The sequence below is a fragment of the Homo sapiens genome, chromosome 12 (genome assembly GCF_000001405.40).
Source record: "Homo sapiens chromosome 12, GRCh38.p14 Primary Assembly".
In the NCBI taxonomy this organism is placed as follows: domain Eukaryota; kingdom Metazoa; phylum Chordata; class Mammalia; order Primates; family Hominidae; genus Homo; species Homo sapiens.
Genome location: NC_000012.12, coordinates 130,394,116 through 130,420,670, shown reverse-complemented (window position 1 = coordinate 130,420,670; position 26,555 = coordinate 130,394,116). Strand labels below are relative to the sequence as shown.

The following is a 26,555-nucleotide window of genomic DNA, read 5'->3' as shown; positions in this document are numbered from 1 at the left end:
CCGCTTTGGTTTGCTATTTTCCTAGATCAGTATTGCTTTTCAAATGGCTGTATATTGTTGAGACTTTTTTTTTAAAACTGCATTCATCAGCAGTGAGAAGCTTTAAAGTTTTATTAGTATCATAAAAACCCTTCCCAAATGAAACTACTTTTGATGAATGTGGTTGGATTTTTCTGAAGCCGTAGAATTCCAAAGGCTGCATGCGTGTCTTAATTTCAGTAGCACACTTGTTAAATTGGGTGAAAGAGCAAATCTATGTCAACACCTTAACAAGGAAAAAGCCTCTGAACATAACTCAGAAAAGAGTTAACTGACAAACCTATGATAGGTTTGCTTTAATTGTGCTGACTTCTTATCATGTAGCAAGCCGGGACACCACATAAAATAACTCTAACCAGATACTTTACACACAAATACACATCTCAGCACCTATTATGGTTTCAAAAGGAAACAGAAGCGGAGGGTGCTTATCACCCACCTGAGGAGGAGGAGGACTCGGCAAAGAGCTTTGGGAAATGAACATCAGTGACAGCTGAACAGACAGGATATTCCTCTAGTTGTCATTTACTTCTATTTTTCTTGTGAAAATACTAGAAAACAATATTTTAGAAATCTATATTTCAAAGGATTACTTATCTTTTTCAGAGGAAATTAAGTCTGTAAACCATACACTTCCTATTTTTAATAAGCAGTGGACCTACAATGAAAAATAATATAAATTTTAATATTTTCTGGATTTCCAAAATTTAAAAAATGTCCTTCATGATTAAAAAACAAAATTATGTGGCTTCAAATATATACTTAATTAGGTTTGATTTTTATCCTTTATAACTTTTGGTCTTTGCATTTATCTAGTTGTTGACCTGTCAGACAGAAGGCCTGTAGCTTCACTCTTCTAAAACCGAAGCACCACGTTCAAGAGGATTCTGTTCTTAGGAATCAACTCTGAATATCTCCTCTGTATTCTCCCATTTTTTGTTATTTTGGCTACTGAGCCTACAAAGTGAGGAAAGTCCAGCGTGTTTTCTTTGTGTCCAGGGAGGAAAAATAAAAACATTAGTAACTCTATTGACAAAGCTTTGCCCCTTAAAAAGGGGAGCTCTTTTCTTCAGGTTTCCCTGCAATAAAAAAAATCAAAAGCTGTCAACTCTGTTTAATAGATGATTCCCTTTATCTCCATAGAAATTACAACGGACAGTAGCAGTGAGGGCAGTCGGTCTGGGCCAGGTAGTGAGGGAAACCTCTCTCCTGTAGAAGACGGTGCTTATTCTTATGGCACCAGTGGATTTGGGAGCCCACCCAGGCGTCCAGGCATGAGCCCTGATCTCCCACACGATATGCACACCCTTCCTCCTAACAAAGACCCCTTGGGCCAGCACACTTCCTCAGCAGGATGGGAGGCAGTGCCCACTCCCCCCAGGGTCAGACAGACAGCTGTAGGTAAGTGCTTCTTTCAGTCTCGCCTGCCATCACCAAGGACAAGGGACCCCCAACTGCCCAGTCCAGTCTGCAGTGAAGCCAAGTTTCCATGGACACATTCCAGGGAGGCTGCTACTCTTTCCCTGTCGAGGTTTGGTGCTCATAACACATCCAGTGCATCCTCTCTGGAAGAACATACGGTGGAGTCACCGCATACGCTGATTTTATTCACATACGTTCAACTCCAAGTGCTCCACCCACCTCTACCCCACACCTGTCTTCCCCCCAAAACAACGTGACATTGTGGGCAGTTCTCTGGAAGGAGCCTTCGTTGGGGGACTGGCCTCAGGCAGCTCTGTGTTGGGGTGTCTGCCTAAATGCCTCCCGTGGTGTGGCCAGTTGCATGGTCCATGTGAGTTTGGACTTGAAGACACAAAGATGTTTTCACAGATCATGGTCCTTGAGTATAAGCCACCTACTGAGAAAATGCACTCTTACGTAGGCTATAGGAGGGACCTGAAAGATTTTCAAGGGGTATGTTGACCACACCCAACTCTCTCTAGAATCTGACCTTAGCCCCTGACCCCTCTGCACGTTTTGATGCCACAAACTTGCCACATAAACTCAGCTGGGAAGTGCTGAGAACTTGCTTGGAAAATGGTGTAGCCAGAGGTTCTCCTCCACTGGCATTTTTCCGTACCTGGAACTGCATTCACTAGATCACACTGACATGGTCATTAAGTTCCTCCAGCAGATCTCCAGCAGAATGGAAAGCAGGCGTCCTTCTCATGCAGCCACAGCTGTTCTCCACCATCATCCCTGGGTGTGAGCAGGGGCTGCACAGCTGTGCCTGTTGTAGAGGCCATGGAGCGCTTCACATTCTATTGAACTCAGATACCACTTGAAACTAGAAAAAAGTCAGGTTTTTTCATGGACTATCAACAAAATCATAACAGCCTGGAGAAATTAATGAAGGCTGCTGTGGAAAAGGTTTGTTCCCTGGCAGAAATTACTGACATTTTAGATTAGGCATTCAAAAAAGACTCTGAATCTCAATAATGTAAACAATTCATTGCATTTTAAAATTCAACCTTTCCTGCAGCCAAAGTGCTTTTGTTAGACTGCGTGTTTTATTTTTTCTGGTGAAAGAGGCCAAACGGTTTGGTTCTTTCTCCACCACCTGTCCTGTCTCTTCTGCATACCTGTGTCATCTCGTCCCACCACCTGTGTTCCTCGTGCTGGGACAGAAGCTCACACTGGGCTGCTTCTCCCAATGCTGCTCTCTCTGCTGCCAGCTGGCGTGTTTCTCACTTGCTTCCCTGATGGTGTTGTGAGACCACCTCCCATGATCAGACCAATATTATCTGTCAGTTCCCTCTCCCCTCCCATTCTCTCTCCATACATATATACACATATGTACACATCTATCTAATGATGTTTAGTGATCCACATGTATATATATGCATATGTATTAGGATTTCCAAAATAATTGTTTTGATTTCTTAAAATAAACTTTCAACTTTTATTTTGGATTCACTGGGGTACATGTGCAGGTCTGTTACATGGGTATAGTGCAGAATGCTGATGTTTGGGTTACAAATGATGCCATCATCCAGGTAGTGAGCATAGCGCCCCGTCAGGAGTTTCTCGGCCCTTGCCCCCTCCCTCCTTCACCATCTAGTGTTCCCCAGTTTCTGTTGTTCCCATCTTCGTGTCTATGTGGACCCAATGTTTAGCTCCCACTTATAAGTGAGAGTATGAGGTATCTGGTGTTCTGTTCTTGTGTTAATTTTCTTGGGATGATGGCCTCCAGTGGCTGCAGAGGACGTGATTTTGTTCATTTCTCTGGCTGCATAGCATTCCATGTGGTATACGCACCACATCTTTATTCAATCCACTGTTGATGAGCATCTAGGTTGATTCCATGTCCCTGCTATTGTGAACAGTGCTGCGATCACCATATTGAGTGCCTGTGTCTTTTTGGTGAAACGACTTCTTTTCCTTTGGGTATATACCCAGTAATGGCACTGGTGTGTCAAATGGTAGTTCTAAGTTCTCCAAGAAATCTCCAAACTGCTTTCCACAGTGGCTGAACTAATTTCCGTTCCCTCCAATGGTATATACATTTTTAAGTGTTTCTTTTCTTTGCAGTCACCCCAACGTCTATTTTTTGACTTTTTAATCGTCATTCTGACTGGTGTGAGATGGTATCTCATTGTGATTTTGTCTTGGATTTCTCTAATGATTAGTGATGTGGAGCATTTTTATTTATTTTTATACATTTTTTAAATATATTTTTTATTTATATTTTATTATCTGCTTGTATGTGATCTTTTGAGAAGTCTATTCATGTCCTTTGCTCTTTTTAATGGAGTCATTTTTTGCTTGTTGATTTAAGTTCCTTGCAGATTCCGGACACTAGACCTTTGTCAGATGCACAATTTGCAAATATTTTCTCCCATTCTGTAGGGTGTTGTTCACTCTGTTGATAGTTTCTTTTGCTGTGCAGAAGTTCTTTAATTAGGTCATGCATGTTAATTTTTGTTTGTGTGGCAATTGTTTTTGTGGTCTTAGTCATAATTCTTTGCCAAGGCTGATGTCCAGAATGGTATTTCCTAGGTTTTCTTGCAGTATTTGTGTAATTTGAGGTCTTACGTTCAAATCTTTGATCCACCTTGAGTTAATGTTTGTATATGGTAAAAGGTAGGAGTCCAGTTTCAATCTTCTGCATGTGACTAGCCAGTTATCCCAGCAGCATTTATTGAATGGGGAGTCCTTTCCCCACTGCTTATTTTTCTCAGCTTTGTCAAATATCAGAGGGTTGTAGGCATGTGGTTTTATTTCTGGTTCTCTATTCTGTTCCATTAGTCTGTGTGTCTGTTTTTGTACCAGTGCCATGCTATTATAGTGACTGTAGCCTTATAGTATAGTTTGAAGTCAGGTAATGTGATGCCTCCGGATTTGTTCCTTTTGCTTAAGACCACTTCGGCTATTTGGGCTCTTTTTTGGTTCCATATGAATTTTAGAGTAGTTTTTCCTAATTCTATATAAAATGACAATGGAAGTTTGATAGAAATAGCATTGAATCTGTAGGTTGCATTGGGCAATATGGCTACTTTAATGATATTCTAACCCATGAGCATGGAATATTTTAGCATTCATGTGATCTATGACTTCTCTCAGCAGTGTTCTGTCGTTCTCCTTGTAGAGATCTTTCACCTCCTTGGTTAGGTACATTCTGTGTGTCTTGGTTAGATGTATTCTGTATATTTTGTGTGTGTGTGTGTGTGTGGCTATTGTCAATGGGATTGCATTCATGATTTGGCTCTCAGCTTGAACAATTTATTGGTGTATAGAAATGCTACTGATTTTTATACATTGATTTTGTATCCTGAAATTTTATTGAAATTGTCTATTGGTTTAGGAGCCTTTTAGCAGAGTCTTCAGGGTTTTCTAGGTTTAGAATCATATCATCAGTGAAGAGAGATAATTTGACTTCTTATTTCCTATATGGATGCCTTATCATCAGTGAAGAGAGATAATTTGACTTCTTATTTCCTATATGGATGCCTTGTCATCAGTGAAGAGAGAGAATTTGACTTCTTGTTTCCTATATGGATGCCGTATCATCAGTGAAGAGAGATAATTTGACTTCTTATTTCCTATATGGATGCCTTTTATTTCTTTCTCTTGCCTGACTGCTCTGGCTATAGCACTCCAGTGTTGAACAGGAATGGTGAGAGCAGGCATCCTTGCCTTGCTCCAGTTCTTAAGGTGAAGGCTTCCAGCCTTTGCCTGTTCAATATGATATTGGCTGTGGGTTTGTCACAGATGCCTCTTACTATTTTTGAGGTACATCTTTCAATGCCTAGATTGTTGAGGGTTTTTTTAATCATGAAGGGATGTTGGATTTTATTGCAAGCTTTTTCTGCACTATTGAGATAATCATATGGTTTTTGTTTTAGTTCTGTTTCTGTGGTGAATCATATTTATTGATTTGCATATGTTGAACCAATCTTGCATCTGAGGGATAAAGCCTACTTGATCATGGTGAATTGTCTTTTTGATGTGCTGCTGGATTCAGTTTGCTAGTATTTTATTGAGGATTTTTGCATCTGTGTTCATCAGGGATATTAGCCTGTAGTTTTCTCTTTTTGTTGTGTCTGTCAGATTTGGGTATCAGGGTGATGTTGGCTTCATAGAATGAGTTAGGGTGGAGTCCTTTCTCCTCAATTTTTTGGAATAGTTTCAGTAGAATTGGTACCAGCTCTTCTTTGTATGTTGGTAGAATTCAGCAGTGAATTCATTTCATCAATATTGGTCTATTCAGGGTTTCGATTTCTTCCTGATTCAATCCTGGGAGGTTGTGTGTGTCTAGGAATGTATCCATTTCCTCTAGTCCAAAAGAACCACTTTTGGAAGCTGGGTGGTATATGGAGTTGAAACCCAATTCACCAGGAAATTATTAATTCACTGTAATAAGGATGCATTTGTTGCCAGTTACATATTTACGTAAGTGAACAGTTGGTCACCTCTATGGACTTTGACTAACATACAAACATTTTAAACGTGGGCTGTGCTTAGCTTTCCATTTTGCAGAGTGTGTGGGTCCTGGGAAGGCTCCCCAGCATGGGCCATCCTGCCCCTGGCACGGCCGCAGCCCCTGCCCCAGCCTGTGCTCTCTGAGGAGGCCCCCGAGGCCCAGCCCTGTCTCAATGCTTTCACATGCAGTGTGGCCAGGTACAGAGTGTGGCTGTGGTTATGTGCTTCTCCAATTCATCTGACCTAGACCTCCCGATCTATTTCCACCTACATGTTAAGACACAAAAAAGACAAAAGTCAAGGAACCGCTGCCATCCTCACTGCTTTCCAAAGCTGCATTTCCCGTGCACGCTCCTCAGTTAGGCTCACTGCCGCTCTGTTCTTCACCCCCACTTGCTCGCAGACGATTACGGGCGAGACCGCCTTTCTCCAGACTTCTATGAAGAGTCAGAAACTGACCCTGGTGCCGAAGAGCTCCCGGCCCGGATCTTTGTGGCTCTCTTTGACTACGACCCGCTCACCATGTCCCCAAACCCAGATGCTGCAGAGGAGGAGCTTCCCTTTAAAGAAGGCCAGATCATCAAGGTGCGGGATGGCTGCCTGCGGGCGGCTTCATCAGCCCCTGAGGCGGGTCTGGGTCATGGGGGCAGAGACTGGCAACAGGGTATCGACTTAGAGATGGCCTTCTCCTGCAGGCCATGGGCGAGGCACGGGAGGAGGTGGCATGGTGCTGTGACGGCAAGGGCCCTGCCCTCTGCAAAGTGCCTTCTCCAGCATCTGCCCGGTTTGTGTGCACACAAACACACCCAAATATGTCCTGTGAACTCTGGATTCTATTAGGGCCTACGTTGTTGAGAAAAATAACACAGGCTCCAAATTTTAAAACAACACTTGTCAGTCAGCAGACAGGCAGGGAAGAGAGGAAGGAGGGAGAGGGAAAGGGAGGGAAAAAGGGAAGAAGGGAGCATCAGCAGCTAGAGGCTGGAGTTCCATGCCTTAGTTCTTTAATACACCTGATGGAGGTTGTTTCCTATCCCTTTGGTACCCAGTTCCTTTTTTTTTTTTTTTTTTTTTTTTGAGACAGAGTCTTGCTCTGTCACCCAGGCTGGAGTACAGTGGCACCATCTCAGCTCACTGCAACCTCTGTTTCCCAGGTTCAAGTGATTCTCCTGCCTCAGCCTCCCGAGTAGCTGGGAACACAGATGCGCGCCATCACACCCAGCTAAATTTTTTTGCATTTTTAGTAGAGACAGGGATTCACCATGATAGCCAGGCTGGTCCCAAACTCCTGATCTTAAGTGATCTGCCCGCCTTGGCCTCCCAAAGTGCTGGGATTACAGGCCGTGAGATCCAGCCTTCTGAGAGGAGAGGAGCCTTGTGAGTCTCAAGTAGGGAAAATGAGAGAAAGTGTGCTGTTCAGTAGGAGAGGGGAAAGAAAGAGGGCCTTGAACCCTGTTTGCAGTTTCAGCAAGGGTCCTGACAGTTGGCATTTGAGAACGGTCGGAATGCCTGCTATGTGGCACTATCTTGTTACGTAGGAACCCATTTCAGGCAGACAGAAACACCACTTTGTGCAGCCTACCTGGTCCTTCTTGGTAGAGTGGGGTCTCATCACACACCCTTTTAATGTGCGTGAATTTAAATAACATGCATTCATCCAAGCAAACACCCTGCCTGATGAGAAGAATGGCAGGTTGTCCAAACACTAGATGAAAAACTGGCTCTTAAGTCAGAGTCATAGAGCGAGGGTTACATGTACACATCCACAGCACACACGTGGGTGACCTATGCAGGTGATTTATGGTATTTTTAAACTATATTTAAAATATATTTTCGACTACACTCACTTACCGTCAGTGGGACTATTGTATTTCTGAACCAATCAATTACAGTGCTTGATTTATTTTCCCCCTTGGCTCTAGGTTTATGGTGATAAAGACGCTGATGGATTCTACCGTGGGGAAACCTGTGCCCGGCTTGGCCTTATTCCTTGTAACATGGTCTCTGAGATACAAGCAGATGATGAGGAGATGATGGATCAGCTTCTTAGACAGGGCTTTCTCCCTCTGAATACACCTGTGGAGAAAATAGGTAAGCGCAAACCCCTATTCGACCTTCCCTGTGCATTTTATCCCACAAAACACCTGCCGCTCAGAGAGGCAGGCGGTGATGAGGAGACCCCAAATTGCATCATTTAAATATGCCAAAGTCATGTAAATGTTGACCAGTGATTTTTCTTGGGCAAAAGCCACCCTACGAACCAGGACTGCCAGTAGTCTCCTGTGTGCTTTAGGGACACAGATACACCTAAGTGTGAAGACACAGATGATCTAATGGGCGATGAAGTACCGTCTTGCTTGCAAACAATTTATCGCATCTAGAAAACACATGATTAGCTGCTTTCTGGTAATACGGTTTGAACATCAGCCTGTCTACAATAAATTTCAGTGGGTGGTTGGGGGGCCGCTATGCCTTTCATTCTTTAGGTGACCTTTGCTTATCCAAGAGGCACAAGCTCTTTTCTCTTTAGTTTGGGTAGACATGAAACTCCTTCATTTATCTTAAGCCAGTCTGCAAGCACCAGTGAGAATGCAGCAAAACTATTTTCAGTGATTTTTTAAGCAACATTACATTTATGAGTTTTAAATTTTTTTCCACGTGCAATAACAATGTCCTCATTAAAAAAAGCCTCTGTAGTCTCAAAAAAAGCCTCTGCTTTTTCTAAAAAGCTGTAGAGAGATATCAGTTTTATATCATTCATATTTAAGGTTTAATACTTCAAAACTTGATTAGCTTCTAAATCAGACTTCAAAGACAAAATTCTGTGCTTCAAAGAATATACATAATTTTAAGGATAATCACAAAATCAAAACATTTCAACCTTTTTTGGCATTAATAAACGCATTGTTTCAAGACAGAATCCACATCTAATAGTCGAAGTTTAGTGTGAATATATCGCCCACATTAAATCCATGAGATCGAAGATCTTTGAGCCCTTTATCCCCTCTACTCACTTTTGTTAAGATCTCCTTTCCCGAAGTTGACTAAGACTCTTTCAAAGAGAGCACAGGCCCTGTACACCACAGACCCAGAAAGTATACAAGAATTTCTGTTAAGGAACGGTAACTTGATTTATCAGTTAGATTAAAATTTTTTATGCTATTTTTCTAAATGTCGATGGCCAAGGGAACCTAGCCTGATATATCTATGTGCCCCCTGCCGCATTGCCAGAAACTATCATCCTTAATGGTGAAAGGCTGAATGTGATCCTCCTAATACCAGGCACAGACAAGGATGTCGGCCCTCACCACTCCTTTTCCACATCATACTGGAGGTCATAACCAGGGCGACATGGTGAGGGGAAGTCACACCTGGTGTACAGACTGGAAATGAAGGAATACAACTTTTTCTGTTCACAGATGACATGGAAATCTACTTAGAAAATCTCAAGGAATCTCAAAGGATAAAAAAGTTCCTAGAACTAACAAATGGAGTGTAGCAACATCAATGGATACAAGGTCAATATACAAAAATCAGTTCTATTTCCATATGTGAGCAATGAAAATTTAGAAATTAAAATTTTTAAAAGTAGTGCCGTTTACAATGACACAACAAAACATGAACTACTTAGCATTAAGTCTAACAAAACACGTGCAGTATTTGTATGCCGAAAATCAGAAAACACTGAGGAAAGAAATCAGATACCTAAATACATGGACAGAGAGATCATATTCATGGACTTAATATTGGTATGTCAGCTGCCCCAAGTGAGCCTACAGATGCAGTGCAAGACCATTCGAAATCTGTGCTGGGATTTATGTAGAATCAACAAGCTAATTCTAAAATGTATATGGAGAGGCAAAGGAACTAGAGTAGCCAAAACTATTTTTAACAAGAACAAGAAGCTTGGAAGATTCACATAAGCTAATTGCAAGCTTACTACTATAGAGGTATGCTAATCGAGACAACGTGGTATTGGAGAAAGGATAGAAACATAGATTAATGGGGCAGAATGAAGTCCAGAAACAGACCAACACATATGGAGTCCACTGATTTTGGACAAAGGTAAAAAGGCAATTCAACGGAGAAAGGATGCTCTTTTCAATCATTGGTGCTGACATTACTGCACATCCATATGCCAAAATGAACCTTAACCACACTCTCACCATATTAAAAACTTAAATAAAAATGGATCATAGTTTCAAGTATAAAAATTAAGACTCTAATATTTCCAGAAGAAAACACAGGAGAAAACTTTATAATAATCAGGCAACGATTTCTTTGACAGGACATTAAAACATGATACATAAAAGGAAAAAGTCAATGTTAGGCTTCACCAAAATTAAATACTCTGCACTTAAAAAGTGCAGAATAAAAAGCCACAGGCTGGCAGAAAATCCTTGCAAGTAAAACCCACTGGAAAAAGGATTTGCATTCAGAATACACAAAGACCTTTCAAAACTCATCAATAAGAAAACAACCCAATAAAAATATGTACAAAATATTTAAGTGACCTTTCGCCAAAGACGATATGTGGGTGGCAAATAAGCACATGAAAAGATCTTTAACATCATCAGTGAAACACAAATTAAAACCACCCTGAGAAACCAATGCACACACACTGAGAATGGCTAAGATTAAAACGGCTGGCCGTCGCAGGTGTGGGCACAAAGTGTGCCAGGTGGGCCTGTGCATGCTGGTGAAAGTGGAAAATGGCATCACCGCTCTGCAAAACAGTTCGCTGGTTTCTTGTAAAGTTATATGTGCACTTACAATACAATCCAACAACTTCCCTCTTATACACTTACTCAGAAGAAAGGGAAACTTACGTTCACACACAAAAAAACTGTACATGAATGTTTGTTAATAGTGGTTTGACCAACGGTCATCAAAATCTGGAAACAACTCAGGTGCTTTTAGCTGGTGACAGAAACAGAACGAAGGCGCCCCACACAATGGGGCCTACTCAGCAATGGAACAGAGCCACTGCTAATACAGCCAGTGACAGGGGTGAATCTCAGAGGCGTCATCCAGATGAAAGAAGCCTGTCTCAAAAGCTACATTCTGGGCCGGGCGCAGTGGCTCACGCCTGTAATCCCAGCACTTTGGGAGGCCGAGGTGGGCGGATCATGAGGTCAGGAGATTGAAACATCCTGGCTAACACGGTGAAACCCCGTCTATACAAAAAAATACAAAAAAATTAGCCGGGCGTGGTGGCGGGCGCCTGCAGTCCCAGCTACTCAGGAGGCCGAAGCAGGAGAATCGCATGAACCCGGGAGGCGGAGCTTGCAGTGAGCCGGGATCGCGCCACTGCACTCCAGCCTGGGCGACAGAGCGAGAGTCCATCTCAAAAAAAAAAAAAAAAAAAAAAAAAAAAGCTACATTTTGTATGAGTCCCTTTTAGTGACATTCTGGAAAGGGTCAAGGTCTGGGACAGGAAACAGATCTGTGGTCATCTGGGCTGAAGTGACTACAGAGGACTATGGCCGGTCTATATCTTGATTGTTGTGGGGTTTCTGGACTGTGTGTGCTTATCACAACGTAAAGTACTGCACGCTGGGAAGAGTGAGCCTTCGTGTATGTAAGTTTGACTTCAGTGAGAAGTACATGTATGTTGTTATGCCACCTTTCAAAAGTCATACTTGTAACATTCCCTGTAACATGAATAATGCTGAGAAACACGAACCTCTGGAGGAGACACACATGTGCAGGTCCTGCAGAGGACACATGTGCACAGAGGCGTGTGTGCGTCCTGTAAACTACAGCAGTGGCTCCTAACCAGAACCCAAGGGGAGAGTAATCGCTGGAATGTTGCAGGGCTACACAGCTGGCCCCTGTACCTGCTGAAAACCACTGAAAAGCCACATCGCTGACTTTAGTTGCCGTTGAGATATTTGCCTTTGATAGTTTTCATCTGTATGTTTGGAATTCCCCAAATCAAATGTAAGCAAAAAGTGGCTGTGTTTAGAAGAAACACATAAATGCCAACTTTCGCCAGGAGGAAAGTCCTTCACAGCCCCACCCCTTCAGTCTGACAGGGGTTTCGTGATTGGGCCAGGTTCTGCGGCTCTGCACTGAGGCCTCCTTACGTCCTGAGAGTGTTCACCTGTTATCTGTGTGGAGCGCTCACGCTGGGCAGAGCCTAGGGCAATTCCTCTGCAGCCCCTTCTTATGCTTCTGAGTGTGCTGGGATGATGCCCAGGCCCCGATCTGTGGCAGAGACAGAGCCAGGCCGTGGGAATGCACCTCTAAGTCGACTGTGCAGAGCTGGGATCTTCTCTACGGCCGCTGCTAAACCACAATGGAAGGATGCCAGGGAAGCAGCATGAGGGAAGCCACTGGGCTGGGTGGAGAAGGCATCCCTGTTTATGTTCGTGCTTCTCCTGAGGACAGTGCCTTAGTTTTGCCTATGCTTAGGGGAGCATGACTTGATTTTGTAGCGCCACCATAGTTACACAAACAGGCACTTTTAAAACTGTGTCTATGGGGCCTTCCCAGAGCAATGTCACAACCGTGCACTCTGCAGGGCCTCCCAAGCCACGGCCTCCCCGTGCTGGCCAAAGCCGTCTAAATTTGCTGTTCGAGAGCCCCGTGCTTCATGTGAGTCTCACTGGTTTAATGGACAGACTGGAGGAAGGAAAAGGTTCATGTTAGTCTAAGGGGGAGAAACCATACTACAGCAAAAATATAAGAATATGGAGTCCCAGACCACTGACCCAAAGTAGAGACGTTTGCTGATGTGAGTGCCCAGGAGCACGTGGCCCTGTTAGCAGTGCCAGGTCTCGGCTGTATTGGCCATGTGTGACCCGGAAGGAGGGGAACACCGCTAAGTTTGAAATAACCTCATGATGGATTTCTTTCCCCCTTGTGATCTGAACAGAGAGAAGCAGGAGAAGTGGCAGGCGTCATTCGGTATCGACGCGGAGAATGGTGGCCCTGTATGACTACGACCCCAGAGAAAGCTCGCCCAACGTCGATGTCGAGGTACCAGCCAAACACTGCACTTCATGACGGACACAACCACACCCTTCCCTTCCCTCGTGGTACACCACACTGAGGCCACGTGTGTTCACCTCCTCATTCCTTCTCTCCGAACCATCCGTAGGAAGGGCTGCCGATCCGAGGGATGGCTGATACAGACATGGCCACGCAGGAGAGAAATCATGGGATTCCCAGGGACATGGCCAGCCCCTGACAAGCCCTGTCCCCATGGCCCAGATTTTCCTGTGCCATGACAGAAAGAACAATCTGTCATCCACATCTAATGGTGATGCCACCTGAGGGCCATCTTTAGGAGAGAAATAAAAGCCCATCACATGTGGTCAGCAAACAAAAGCAAAGCAGTCAGGCCCCACACATAGAACAGTAGAGAGGAAACCAGTGATAGGTGAGGTTGTGTCGCCTGGCACAGCTTGGGATGCCTGGTGTCTTGAAGGCTGAAACCACTGCCTTCAGAAATGAGAGGTGGGGTCTCCAGTCTCTGCAGCTACTAGCTGAGATGACAAGATGTATGTGAACCCATGTTACACAGTACTTTGCTCTGACAAGCCACTGGCTCACCAACTATATTCCCTCATTTTGACATTTAGAAAGAAAATGTGTTTGGTTGTGAATATTGTCTAGATTTCTGCTTCCATGTTCTGCTGGGTGACTGGGAACTGAAATGTGCTGGGTCAGTTGGACCCCTGAGGGCAGTGGGGCGTGTTTGACACCGCCTGCTTTGGGGCTGCAGCCCGGCCCATCGTAGACACTGAATAAAGAGATGTTTAGGCTGGGTGCGGTGGCTTACGCCTGTAATCCCAGCACTTTGGGAGGTGGGCAGACTGCTTGAGATCAAGAGTTCAAGACCAGCCTGGGCAACATGGCAAAACCACATCTCTATAAAAAATATAAAAATTAACCAGGCTTGGTGGCACACACCTGTAGTCCCAGCTGCTCAGGAGGCTGAGGCAGAACAATTGCTTGAACCCGAGAGGCAGAGGTTGCAGTGGGCCGAGGTTGCACTGCTGCACTCCAGCCTGGGCAACACAGTGAGATTCTGTCTCAATAAATAAATAGATGTTTCATTAATAATTGAGTAGGTTTTAAAATACTCAGTGAAAGGATATTTACGTAATGGTCCTTATACTGCAGAGAACATTTCCCTAATATTCCAGGTTTTTACAATTAACCATTTCACTAGCTTTAAAAATGTATTATCAGTAGAACATGGTAATAATCTTGAATTTTGGCCAAAATCAAAGCACTGCAGCATTTTCCTTTTAGGTGCACATTATCTTGGTTTGTTCTTACTTTCTAGAAGACTGTGGACAGAGCCATTCATTAGCTTCTACCTTTATTTGACTGAAAGAGTAGATTAATACCAGAAATTCTCAAATAGTAAGGGAAAGCATAGAGAACTTATTTTTAAAAAACTACTACTGTTGTGTAGAAAAATACGATTAATTTTATGTTTCATCTCCACAGGCCGAACTTACATTTTGCACAGGAGATATTATTACAGTTTTTGGTGAAATTGATGAAGATGGATTTTATTATGTAAGTTTTTGAAATATCAAGAAGTACCATTTGATTTTTGTATTTTCATTTATTTTGTGTGTTTTGTTTTGCTAGTCCGTTCCTTCTCTTAAAATTGGGCATGAACGTCATACGCCTGCTGATAGCTTTGCTTAATTGGCTGAGTTATAGAACTTTGCTGAGTTATAGATAATCTAGAAAGTTGGGACTGTGAACTTCATTGTTTCTTCCTTGCTAATACTAGTGTTTTCAATGTATATGCACTGTAAACAAAACAAATACATTCATATTCTTATTTTTTAAATTGCTGCCACCCAAACATTTACAAAACAATTTAAGTTTCTAGATTACTTAACTGTATAGGTCAAAAATAAATTTTAGGAAAAGGAAGAAATACAAATAAGCAAAAACAAAACAAAACAAAAACCTAAAACCCCACAGATTTTAGGACTTCTCCCTTACCTTTTTTCTAGAGCCAACTGCTGTTAGCAGCTTGGAACCCCCCACCCCGCCCCCACCCCTTGCTGCTGGTGATTCCTGGCAGGGACCTCAGAGCCACCCTCCCTCCTTTTCTGTTCCCCTGGAGCATGTCTTGAATACTCCCTGGGGCAAAGGGAGGGAATGGGGTGGGGTTATCTCAGAGTTTCCGCAGCTGGGGCATCTTTACAAGTAGCTGCCCCTCCCTGACCAGAAGCCCACAGGGCCACTTAGGACCCTGCGCAGAGCCCAGTGGGGGTCCCCACCTTGCACATGTGTTTCCACCTGCTCCCCCACCGCCTTTATCAGAATCGGCAAGAACTGATGACATCCTGGACGGTAGGTTTCTCTTCAAGTCAAACATGCTACAGCCGCAGGCATGTGTAGGATTCCCAGGCTCTCTCCTCTGCCTGGTTTCTGATTTGCCTTTGGTGAGGATATTCATACTTTGTCACATGTGTTTCAAATAGTTCTTTCCAGCTCAACCTCTGCTTTTTAACTTTGTGTGTGTGTGTTTGCTTCTCCATTTTTGTTGTTTATTAAGGATGAATTTCACGTTTGCATGCGGTCAAATGTTTCTGCCTTGGGGGTCATGCCTAAAAGGTCCTTCAAGGTGATAGAAATAATCACCTCATTTTGTTTCAATTTTATAGTTTCACTTTCCACATGTAAATCTCAAGTATCTACCATTTTTTCCTAACTATGAGAACAAATGTCTCAACACATTTACTAAATAATCTGCACTTTCCCTACTTTAAAAAAATCATTTTTTAATAATAAAAAATGAATACGTTTTAAAATTAAAGTGTAAATAGGAATTTAATACTTAGAGTATTTATGGACTTTAACACTACTCCATGCTGTCTTAATTATTGTATTTTTATAATGCATTTTTATGTTTGGGAGGGAACATTTTGTAAAGAGTCCCACCTCCACAACAAACCTATACTTTTTTGTTTAGATGTACATTTAGCTTTTGGAAGAAATAGACATAATATTGTCTTTCAATTCTGACATAGCATGCGCCTCCTCTTAAAAAGTTTTTCCTTTCATCTGTCAGAAAAGATTCATAGATTTATTCTTACGCATCCTTTATATATCTTAAGTTTACTCTTAGGAACTATATAGATCCAACGGCCGGGCACGGTGACTCATGCGGAGGCTGAGGCGTGCTGATCACCTGAGGTCAGGCATTCGATATCAGCCTGGCCAACATGGTGAAACCCCGTTTCTACTGAAAATACAAAAGAATTAGCCGGGCGTGGTGGCATGTGCCTGTAATCCCAGCTACTTTGGAGGCTGAGGCAGGAGAATCACTTGAACCCAGGAGGTGGAGGTTGCGGTGAGCTGAGATCATGCCATTGCACTCCAGCCTGGGTGACAGTGAAACTCCGTCTCAAAAACAAACAAAAAGGAATTATATAGATCTTATTATGATTGTGAATGATTTTTCCCCCTAGCATATATTCCACTGTTATTTAGAAAACATGTTGGAAAAGTGTGTGTGTGTGTACATGTCCCCCACAAATCATTTTTCTGAATGCATTTATTTCTCTTATCAACCGATTCCCTTGGGTTCCCACAGATTGTCATTATTTTGCCTCCTCTTCACCAATATTTATAATTTGTCATCATTTTTAATTGTCTTACTAATCACTTAGAACGATTCTGAATAACAGAGATAAGGAAATCTGTGACTCGTTATGTATTTTAGTAGGAATACCACTCATATTTTACATGTTATATGTAGGTTAGACTATCAGTAAAGATAGATGGTCTTTATAATACGGAGAAAGTATCCTTTATAATGCTAAGAAAGTTTTAGTTTGCTCTGCTTATTTTTCATCAGTAAATTACTGGCCATCATATATAATATTTTTAAGGCACTGGAAGTTGATTTGCTAATATTTTATTCAGAAATTATATTCCAGAAATAATAATAATCTGTATTCATTGGAATACCTTTGTTGTAGCTTTTGATACCGGGATTATGCTAGAATTACCAAATAAACTAAGAAAATTTCAACCTTTTTCTATGCTTTAGAGGAGATTAAGTGACACAGCAATTACTATTATTTGAAGGTTATTAGAATCTGCCCAGAGAGAGATCCTTTAGGTTCAGTATCTTTTTAGACTGCAGTTGCACAAAAGTTTTTATTTGCTTAAATGGTTATCTTATCAGTTTTTAACAATCTACATATCTTCAGAGGAATGTACTTTTCATTTAGATTTTCACATGTAGAAACAATGGGCTTTCCTGGAATTTAAGAAGATTTTTCTAATTTGTCTGCATGTTTCTATTCCCCAGTTATGTTTTATCTTCTTAGTTTCTTGAATAGTCTTCCCTAAGTTTTTATATTATAGTGGGAATCAGATCTAAATTAATATGAAACGTATGCTTCTTTTTATTTACCACTCCTCCAAATGGTTTTACTATGATTTTGCTGGTCATGTTCACTGAGCGGACTGCCCAGTTCATTTAAGTATTTCTTATTTGATAAACAATGACAGGGGACACCTAATTTGATACCAAAAATCTTAAATTTCTTGGTACTTTGTTTTGATATCTGTAACCTTAAACATCTCGAGAGAGCGAATTCAAATACTCCACCGGTCCTAATATTGTAATATCACCCTCCTCTTTCTCTGTTCTGCTATATCCCATATCAGTAAAACAAGCGTAAGCAGGGACCCCCGAGGGACTCCTGCTGTCCTCCCTGGCCTTTTCCTCCTTTTGCTATTTCATAATTTACATCAGCCCCCATTAAGTCACTGAAGACTTCTAACACCCCATCGTGTTTTAAAGCGTGTGCTGTTCTTGCTATAGCCCAGCATCTCGGTATCTGAAACCTTAAATCCTGTACCTTCCTATGTCAAAAGCAAGCCATCACGTGGCGTACTAAGGTACGGGAGATAATCCAGAGGAGTGTGCAAACACGAGTGGATGTCTCACTGACTGGGGCACAGAGAAAACTGGGAGGGGATCGATTTTGGTGTTTTCTGCCTTTCAGCCTATTCCCATTCTGTCTGGACATTAGGCCTCCAGGTAGTTACTGTTTGGCCGCAAATAGAGAAATGGTGGGAAATGAGGCGTAGGAGAGAAGCAGAGATCAAATTATGGAGGGACTGAGGAGGGAAAGGTCAAGGTGAAATTTTTTTAGAGAAAGTTATTCTGTAAAGGGTTTTGATGGTACACTTTTGAAGGGGGATGGGAGTGGGTCCAGGAGGCTGGGAAACATGCTATATGGAACCCTCCAGGCAGGAAACATGGCCCGAAATACGTCAGTACCAGGGGAAGGCAGACTCAAGATGATCTTATCCAGCGTTCTGACTGCCAGTCAGAGGGACAGAGAATGTCGTCTGGGGGAGCCTTCGATTCTGACCTAGGTGATGGGTGCCCTTGAGAACGCAAGGATAAGAACAACGTTGAATGGAAAACCTGGCTTAGAAACTCTTGAGCTTGAGGGGTGTGAACAGGACCTCTGAGCCTCTCCAAACAGAACGGAACTTAGGCCAAAGCAGTATTCACACCGCGAGCAAGTCCCGTCGTCACTTTGGACGCAGTAGCACGCAGTGGTAGAGGCATCAGACATGGGGAAGGGAGTGACATGGTACATGTGCGTTCTGACGTGGATTTTACTAGGGCTGTGTGTGTTCAGCCCAAAAGAACAAGAGCAATAACCAGTGCAGGCAGTTCCACCCACATTCTACTCAGCCAGAGCAGGGGCTGGCCTGGAGGCCTGGCTCTACAGGAGCCTCTGCAGGCTGGGGTACACACGCCTCTTGTGGTGTGAGCATGACACCAGCGGAGATGTGTGCATAACATTGTGTGTGTTCACAGAACACACTCCCCAAATATAAGCCAACTACTCCATCTGGTGCTCAGCCAGAGGAAGAATCTTTTCTAAGGCTGGCAGAGAAATCTGGCTGTTGGACCTAATGAGGGGGGACTTGACTGGTTATAACTTTTGAGTGTCTTCGTATTTAGATGTTATTAAAAACCCTCGATAGGAAGAAATCGCCAGGGGCACATGCACAGTAAAAAGGATAGGTGGCCTAGAAATAGTCTGTAATGTCAACAGAGAAAAATAAGCTAATAATGGAGCCGGTGAGAGAAGGCCCAGGGCAGTCACAGGTAAATAAGAGTAGGACCTTCAAGGTCCAAGCAGAAGAGTGGGGCGGGGCAGGGCAGTGAGTGTGCACCTGGCAGCGTTGCTGAACAGGAAGATGCAGGAAGTATGTGGGGCTGCCTCTTCCAATTAATTTTTGTGATAAAATCTACATAAAATTTATCTAAAATTGGCCAGGTATAGTGCCTCAGCCTGTAATCCCAGCACTTTGGAAGGCTGAGGCGGGTGGATCACCTGAGGTCAGGAGTTCGAGACCAGCTTGGCCAACACGGCGAAACCCTGTCTCTACTAAAAATACAAAAATTAGCCGGGCATGGTGGCATCTGCCTGTAATTCCAGCTACTTGGGAGGCTGAGGTGGGAGAATTGCTTGAACCCGGGAGGTGGAGGTGGCAGTGAGCCGAGATCACGCTACTGCACTTCAGCCTGGGTGACAGAGCGAGACTCTGTCTCAATTTAAAAAAAAAAGATATAAAATCATTTTTAAGTATATAGTTCAGTAGTGTTAAGTATGTTTACATTGTGCAAACAATCACCACCATCCGTCTACAGAACTCTTTCCATCTTGCAAAACTGCCATCTTGTTTTCAACAGCAGCTGCACCATCTCACCTTCCCACCAAAAGTGCACGAGTATTCGTTTCTTCATATCTTCACCAGTACCTGTTTTTTCCATTTTGTTTTTGATAGTAGTGTGAGGTGGTACTACATGGTTTTGAACTGCATTTCCCTGGAGATTCGTGGTGACTGGCATCTTTTCATGTGCCTGCTGGCCACCTGAATCTCATTTTTGGAGAAATGTCTTTAATTGGGTTTTTTGATGTTCTTTATATGTTCTGGATATTAACCCCTTAGCAGATAGATGACTTGCAGACATTTTCTCCCATTCCACAGGTACTCATCACTCTGCTGTGTCCTTCACTGCACAGGTGTTTTGATGTAGTAGGCTCTTTATGTCATTTCCTAGACCATATAAACAGAGAAACAGGATTCCGTGTTGCCCAGAGCCAGCCAATTTTGAACTTGGTTTAGGCACTTTATGGGCAGATGAGTTTGGGGAAGAAGTGACGTGGTAGGCCTGTGAGCCACTTGGTGCAGATGACCAGCAGGCAGATGGACTCATGGATCTCGACTTTAGACAAGGCATAGATATGTAAATGAGTAGAAAGATCTGGAAGGATATATACCAACCTGAAGCAGTAATGTCTGAGGAGGTTATCAACAGACACTTTCATTTTCTCCATATTGTTTGAATGTTTACGATAATAACCTATCCATGAGTAAGAGGGAGGACAGTCTTAAGGCTGAGTAGACCAGTAGCGCTCAAGCTTGCTGGCATGTTAGGACCACCAGGTCCCCACCGTCTGAAGGTGTCCATCATTGGTCTGGGCTGGTGTGCTGAGCGATGTGTTTTTAGCAGCTCCCTAGTGCCTCAGATCAGCCAGGCCCGAGAACCACTAAATGAGATCTGCCAAGGAGTGTTTCCTTCAGAAGCCTGATCCTAAGAATCCCAGGGGCTCTTTGGCCAAAAGGCAGATTCCTCAGCTCCTCACTGAACAGGAGAAATCAAGACCCCAGGAAAGGGGCTTAGGACTCTGCATGTTGCTGAGGAAAATTTGGAAACCCTGATTTAGAGTCCTTTCAAGTCCTGCCACTTTTGAACCAGAATAAACTCACCATGTACCTGTACTCTGAGCTGTATTCCTTTAGCCAAAGCAAGATGTGGGTTTCTAGAAAAATAAATAGTTCTTCTGCCTCACCCCTGGTGTTTTAGGGGGAGCTGAATGGGCAGAAAGGCCTTGTGCCCTCAAACTTCTTGGAAGAAGTGCCTGATGACGTAGAAGTCTATCTTTCTGATGCTCCATCCCACTACTCTCAAGATACGCCAATGCGCTCAAAGGCAAAAAGGGTAAGCAAACCTATTTAGCCTTTTTAATCTCTGTCCCGTTCTGCCATATGTGGTCTAATACAATCTTTGCACTGATATTTTTATATCTTGGGCCGAAAAGCGTAAATACACCCTGAATTTTTTTTCTCTGCCCTGAAGCCATGGGAGTTGTACCTAAAAATTCTTAATTCTAAATCTTACTCATTTTACAAAAAAAGACCCTTTCAATTCTAATCAATCAATCTGCCTTTACTCACAAAGAAATGTCCCATCCTACATTATAGAAGCACATTTCAGTTTGATCAAGAGTGAAAAGGGGATGGCTCCTCTTCAGATTTGGTGGGCAATGGAGGTTATTTGCCCTCTGTTAGGACTTTAGTCTCTTCACAAGGATCCAAGGGCTTCTCAAGCATATTGAACTATTAGACTACATTCATGTTTAGTATCTCATTTTTATTTTATTTCATCACTGCAAGTTTTTCTATATTATATTTTTATATATATATTTTTATTTCTTTGCTCATCTGCTTGGAAACAGAAGAAGAGTGTTCATTTCACACCTTAATCAGGCAATGTAGCCTTCACGTAAGTGAGCAACTGAAGATACCGATAAAGATACCAACTTAAGCTACCTTAACCGGGCCAGTGTGGTAGACTTAAGGCTTCATTGTGGGGTTAAAAAAAAAAAAAGATACAAAGAAATATGTCTCAAAAAACTATTGGACCTAAATAATTAGAATATTACTTGGTCTCAGTTGTAAAGCAACTGAATTTATAGTGAAGCAAATCATCTTTAATAATCATTTCCTACTATTTGCATTAAGAATATTTGAAAGGCCAACATTGGGAACATATTTCTTAACAAGCTAACTGTGTGTTTACATAGAGAGAGCTGCATATTGCATTGTTAGCCACTCTTGGAAAAAGCACAACCTAACAAACATGTTTACTATAGGAAGCTTTACTTTAGAAACTTAACCCAAGGTCAAGCAGATGAGTAGTGAACACAGGTGATCGAGTGTTGGCTCTGAACACTCCAAACACTGGCTCGAGTGGCCAGAACGTGTTTTCCTTAAGTAACCCTGCCTCTACCTTACGAGAGAGCTATGCTCCTCCTCAAAGCACAATCATCCTGTGACAGAAGTTGCTGCAACACGCGTTTGTTGTTGGTATACCAATGCAATACTAAGTTGATGAAGCACGCAGCTCAAATGATCACATTAGATGGAATAGATGGTATCTTCAGGTGTACTTTGGGATGCTTTACTAGGTGTTTTCCATTAGAATTAGACCTTGATTTTAAATCCAAGCAAGCTTGAAGCCCCTTGGCTTACAGCATTTGCCTGCTGAATACTAAACACTCACATGGCAAGAGTTGCTCTGGAGAGGTAGGGCCAGAGGAATGCTGCTGCACTGCCAACTCAGGCACATGCTTAGCTGTAAAGGGAAGCGAGGTGAAGTCGTCCTGCAGCGTATTAGAGTAAAAGTCTACCCCTCTGAAGCACTATTAAGCGCTTAACGTATATTTAAATACTACCATGTGCTATCTACTGAGGAAGATTCATGTTCAATTATTTGGAAATAATGCAAGCATCCACTAAGGGCCTTTAAGCTTTCTTTGATTATAATTAAGGTTCATTTTAGTTTTTTTTTTTCTTTCAACCAGTGTGCCATCTCCAATATTTCTATAGTATACCAACCACCCCAGGAATGCACTTTAACAATATCAGGATTTTATATAACCAAATAGTTTCAAATACAACAAAATTCCCTTTATGAACTTTCGCTTTTTAAGACTACTGATGGGTACTCGGCCAACTTTACTATCAACCTAATTTCAGATCATGTCTCCCCTGCCCTTAGTCTTCATTTATGAAGTGAATTATTACCTGCCTTAGCTTTGCCAAAGCAACGGCCACCCCGCACTCCCTCGAGACAGAGAAACGGAACCCACACATTTATGTCTGGGGCCTCTCTCTGGCGTGCTGTGGGAGAGGACCTTTGCTTCTCATGGCATACTTCAACAACTGAAAGAACAAATGAACCCCCCTGACCTTTCCTGGTGGGAAACGGGGACAGTACGATGTTACCAAGTGAATTCTGTTGTTGGCGCTCACACACTCAATAAACTGTAACACTGTACCTACTAGGTTCCTCCTGAGGGTTCAGGTACAGCAAGGAGAGCTCCATCCCCCACAGTCCATCTCCATTCGGGGTCACCTACGTCATCTATGGGTTCTGGTAGTCCTGGGAGAGGCAGGGAAATGTCCTCGAAAAAGAAAAAGGGGCTGCTTTCCAAAGGCAAGAAACTGCTGAAAAAGCTGGGTGCAGTGAAATGATTCATGTGCTTCCGGACAACTGCCAAATCTATGTAATTTTCTTTAATTCCAAACTAGGGCTTTCATGACTCAAGTACTTCCTAAAAAAACCCAATCTTCTCCCCTGACACCAGTAGAGAAATGCACTTTTGCACTACCAACCACTTTAAACCAACCACGAGAACAAAGAGGAGCGGTTGCTCTCTGTCACCGCTGGCAGTCTGCTCTCATTGTCCAAGCTCTGATTTGGGAGGTGGGAGGGGACGTCTTATTAACAAACGGGGGCGCATAGCTATCACCTGTAGCTCCCTCCCTACCTGTAATTCCAGTCTTTGTGCATTTGTCATCTGCCCTTAAAGGAATGATTTTCAACCTTTCTCCCTTCTCAAAATGCTTGCCTCATAATGCATAACTTTCACTTTGACTCTGGTCTTGAAATTCCTAGTTTAATTCGCCTTGATGTTCTGCCTTATAAATGCACAATGATTTGTACTGTCTAATAAAAACAGTGTATACTTTGTATGTGTCGTGCATTCAGTGGTCTTCATCCTGACACAGTGGTTTGAGATCAAGTTGTACAGGCTGTGCATTTTAAGATACTAGTTTCAGTCTTTCAAAGCCAGCCAGGCTACACACAGAAAATGTTTACTCAATCATTCAAAAAAGAGAAAAGGAGAGAAAGTAACTTTGTTTGGTAAAGCACCAGTACTCCAACCTTCCAGAAAGCCGATTATCTTCATTGCTTTTAATGTTCTATTCTGTGGCATATGGTTTTCTGTTACTTTCGTTGTCAAAATGCCATACCCAAATACACAGCAATGAATGGCACACAAGTAATCCACATAATGCATAAGCCACACCAAAACCAGACTCAATTTAAATCTGCTCCAAATGAGTCCATACCCATCTTCATCATTGGCATTTGAACAAAAGACTTACTTACAAAGTTGCTGGCAGATGTATTTGATGGTTACTCTTTTGTAATTCTTGTCCACTTGTAAATTGTTTTTACTCTTTATACATACTTTTCAGACTGCCTTTCTTTTGTAATTTATGGACGGTTTATAAATGAATGACAAAGCTTTCCCCATTGTGTCTTCAAAAACGCTATTATAAATTGTAATATAATAGTATGTGGTAGATTTATTATTAAAGGAAATCCATGTGTGGTTAAGCTCTGTGTGGGTGTGTGCATGTGCACAGTTAGTGTAAAATATTTTCTAGAAATAAAATTTGTTATTTTATACAACACTGTTTATTCTCTTTGTTTTAAATATTTTATCATAGCGGGATAACTGACTTCCTTTCTCTTAATGTTTACAAAAAGCACCATAACCTTACCGTTTCTGGGAGTATTTTTTTTTTTTTCCAAAAATAATTTTGGTCTATGTTTTGGGAGCCATTGACAATGTTGTGACACTCTCATACTACCAGTAACAGTCCAGTCAGTGACAAAAGGTCATTCGCACGGAGTCAGTATAAGCACTACCAGGATGAATTCAAACACAAATTGTTAATTCCCTCTGGCAGCTTTAGAATTCAAGTGAAATTAATGAACGGCTACAGCAACATAATACAACAAAATATAACTTCCCAAATACATACAATTTTCCTAAAAGCCTTATTTTAGAATTCTCCAAGTAACCAGATGATGTCTTTTCAAAGAAAGAGGTAAAACCAACACACTTACGGCAAGATGAAAATATAGTTCAAGTACATAATTTCATGAACCTATAATTTATCTCATAATTGCTACCATAATATCTTTTTACCTACAGTATTTACAGGAAAAGTTGAAGAGTTGCTAACAAAAAGTATCCAGAACTAATGTTTCTCTAAATCTTTTGAAAATATTTACCAATTCCCCAAAGTATGAAAATGTAGGCAAACCTGAAGTAATAATGAGCTGGTCTTAGCTTTTCTTCCCCCCTATTTTATAAGTAAGTACAATTTTCCTAAAACCAAAGCACCCACCCTGAGGACAAGAAAGTGCTTAAGTCACATTTAATTACTCATTCCAGCCCCAACTCCCTCCCAGACTGAGCTGAGAGTCACTTCAGCAATCTCCCTTTTCTGGTGATGATAAGAGAAAAACCATGTTTTGCTTTTGTTTTATGACCGAAAATTGTACCAAACAAGTTAGGAAGCTCTCCATTACCAGTGTGAGTGTAATTTTCTGTCTTCACAGGTTAGTCTAAAAGTGGAAGCCCAAACTGTACAGAGTACTCAAAGAACAGAAACCATTTCCTCTTGCAGTTAAATGGCTCCAACCCTTCCTCCCGCTGCTTCTAAGGAAGTGGCTGCAGCCCTGACCCATGAGCGCCTCCCCACATTACCATCCATTTGCCTCTGCTGCTCCCCCTCCCCTGCCAAATAAAACAAGTGATTCTTTCGATTCAGAATGACCCTCCCATTCTCATCCTGACCTGTAAAGGCACAATTTTCATTGAACAACAAACAACTATACCTAAATTCTTAATTTCATTTTCTGTTATGACTTTCCTATGTATATTCAAAATGAGAAACTTTTGCCAAATTTCGTTTTGCAGTTACTTCTCATGCACATAAACATTTTTCTATCCTCTCGCTAACACTTTTCAAATAAACTATTTGCTTAAACTAGAACACAAAACTCCTGTGTTCCACCAAGTGAGCTTTACTGTATTTTCTTATTCTTGAAAATTATTTAAAGCTGCACTCAGAAAAAAAAAAAAAAATGCAAAAATCCCCAACCTTCCAGAAATTTCTACGGTACTTTTTTCTGTGGCCCCGAGGTAGAGGCAGTCTGGCAGTGACGAACTGGGTTCTTGGGAAAAGTTCTGCTAAATAAAGCTTGTTTGCAGGTATATTGGAAGCTTTTGGGAAAAGAAAGAAAACTACATTGAAAGCCTCATTCATATTAAAAGAAAAAAGATATACTTCTAAACATTTTTAATTTTGAAAAGAAAACCGTTTTATGTGAAGTGCTCTTTCATATGGGTAAAGAAAAAATACCTAGCTATCCCCTGGCTGGCTCCGTGCACCTCCGCGTGCAAGCTCACTGTTGCAGTCGGACTCCAGGCCCTTGTGCTGCCAGCTGGCGCAGCCCCTTCCTGCAGCCCCTCTCATCACAGAGAACTGATGCCTGGGACTACCAAACAGTATATGGAGCTTATGGTAGAACAACAATAACCAAAGTCTCTAAAAAAGAGGATGAATCAAGTGTCAAAGTGAAATTAAGAATACGAAAGAAATCCGACCCTATGTGGAAATACTCCATGGAGCAG

The 26,555-nt window shown here is 42.2% G+C and overlaps 2 protein-coding genes across 32 annotated transcripts in view, besides 1 other annotated feature; one reads left to right on the top strand and one right to left on the bottom strand.

Annotated features, from left to right (window-relative positions):
• Positions 1-24,538, top strand: part of RIMBP2 (RIMS binding protein 2) — a 320,167-nt gene extending 295,629 nt beyond the window's left edge. For 11 of the 31 annotated variants that reach the window (NM_001351227.2, XM_047428628.1, XM_047428630.1 and 8 more), the window contains 6 exons: positions 6,365-6,546; positions 7,884-8,052; positions 12,842-12,945; positions 14,428-14,499; positions 20,858-20,992; positions 23,122-24,538. In NM_001351227.2, coding sequence (NP_001338156.1) covers positions 6,365-6,546; positions 7,884-8,052; positions 12,842-12,945; positions 14,428-14,499; positions 20,858-20,992; positions 23,122-23,310 — 851 coding nt within the window. In that variant the 3' untranslated portion in view covers positions 23,311-24,538. Of the gene's footprint in view, positions 1-6,364; positions 6,547-7,883; positions 8,053-12,841; positions 12,946-14,427; positions 14,500-20,857 lie in introns of all 31 variants that reach the window. The other 20 variants (NM_001393616.1, NM_001393628.1, NM_001393625.1 and 17 more) reach the window with 5 other exon arrangements.
• The window catches only part of PIWIL1 (piwi like RNA-mediated gene silencing 1), an 88,374-nt gene that overhangs the window by 5,590 nt on the left and 56,229 nt on the right, over positions 1-26,555 (bottom strand). Inside the window, exons 21-22 of the transcript XR_007063144.1 lie at positions 7,813-8,037; positions 2,120-2,326 (exon numbers count right to left, since the gene is read on the bottom strand). The gene's annotated coding sequence lies outside the window, so the exon portion shown is untranslated. The remainder of the gene's footprint in view (positions 1-2,119; positions 2,327-7,812; positions 8,038-26,555) is intronic.
• Positions 7,982-8,151: an enhancer, noted in NCBI's record as "experimental_25849 CRE fragment used in MPRA reporter constructs". NCBI's record gives its function as "activates a minimal promoter by MPRAs in K562 erythroleukemia cells, with activity observed for both the introgressed and non-introgressed 12:130897150 variant alleles {active_cell/tissue: K562}" and the evidence as "EXISTENCE:reporter gene assay evidence [ECO:0000049][PMID:34662402]".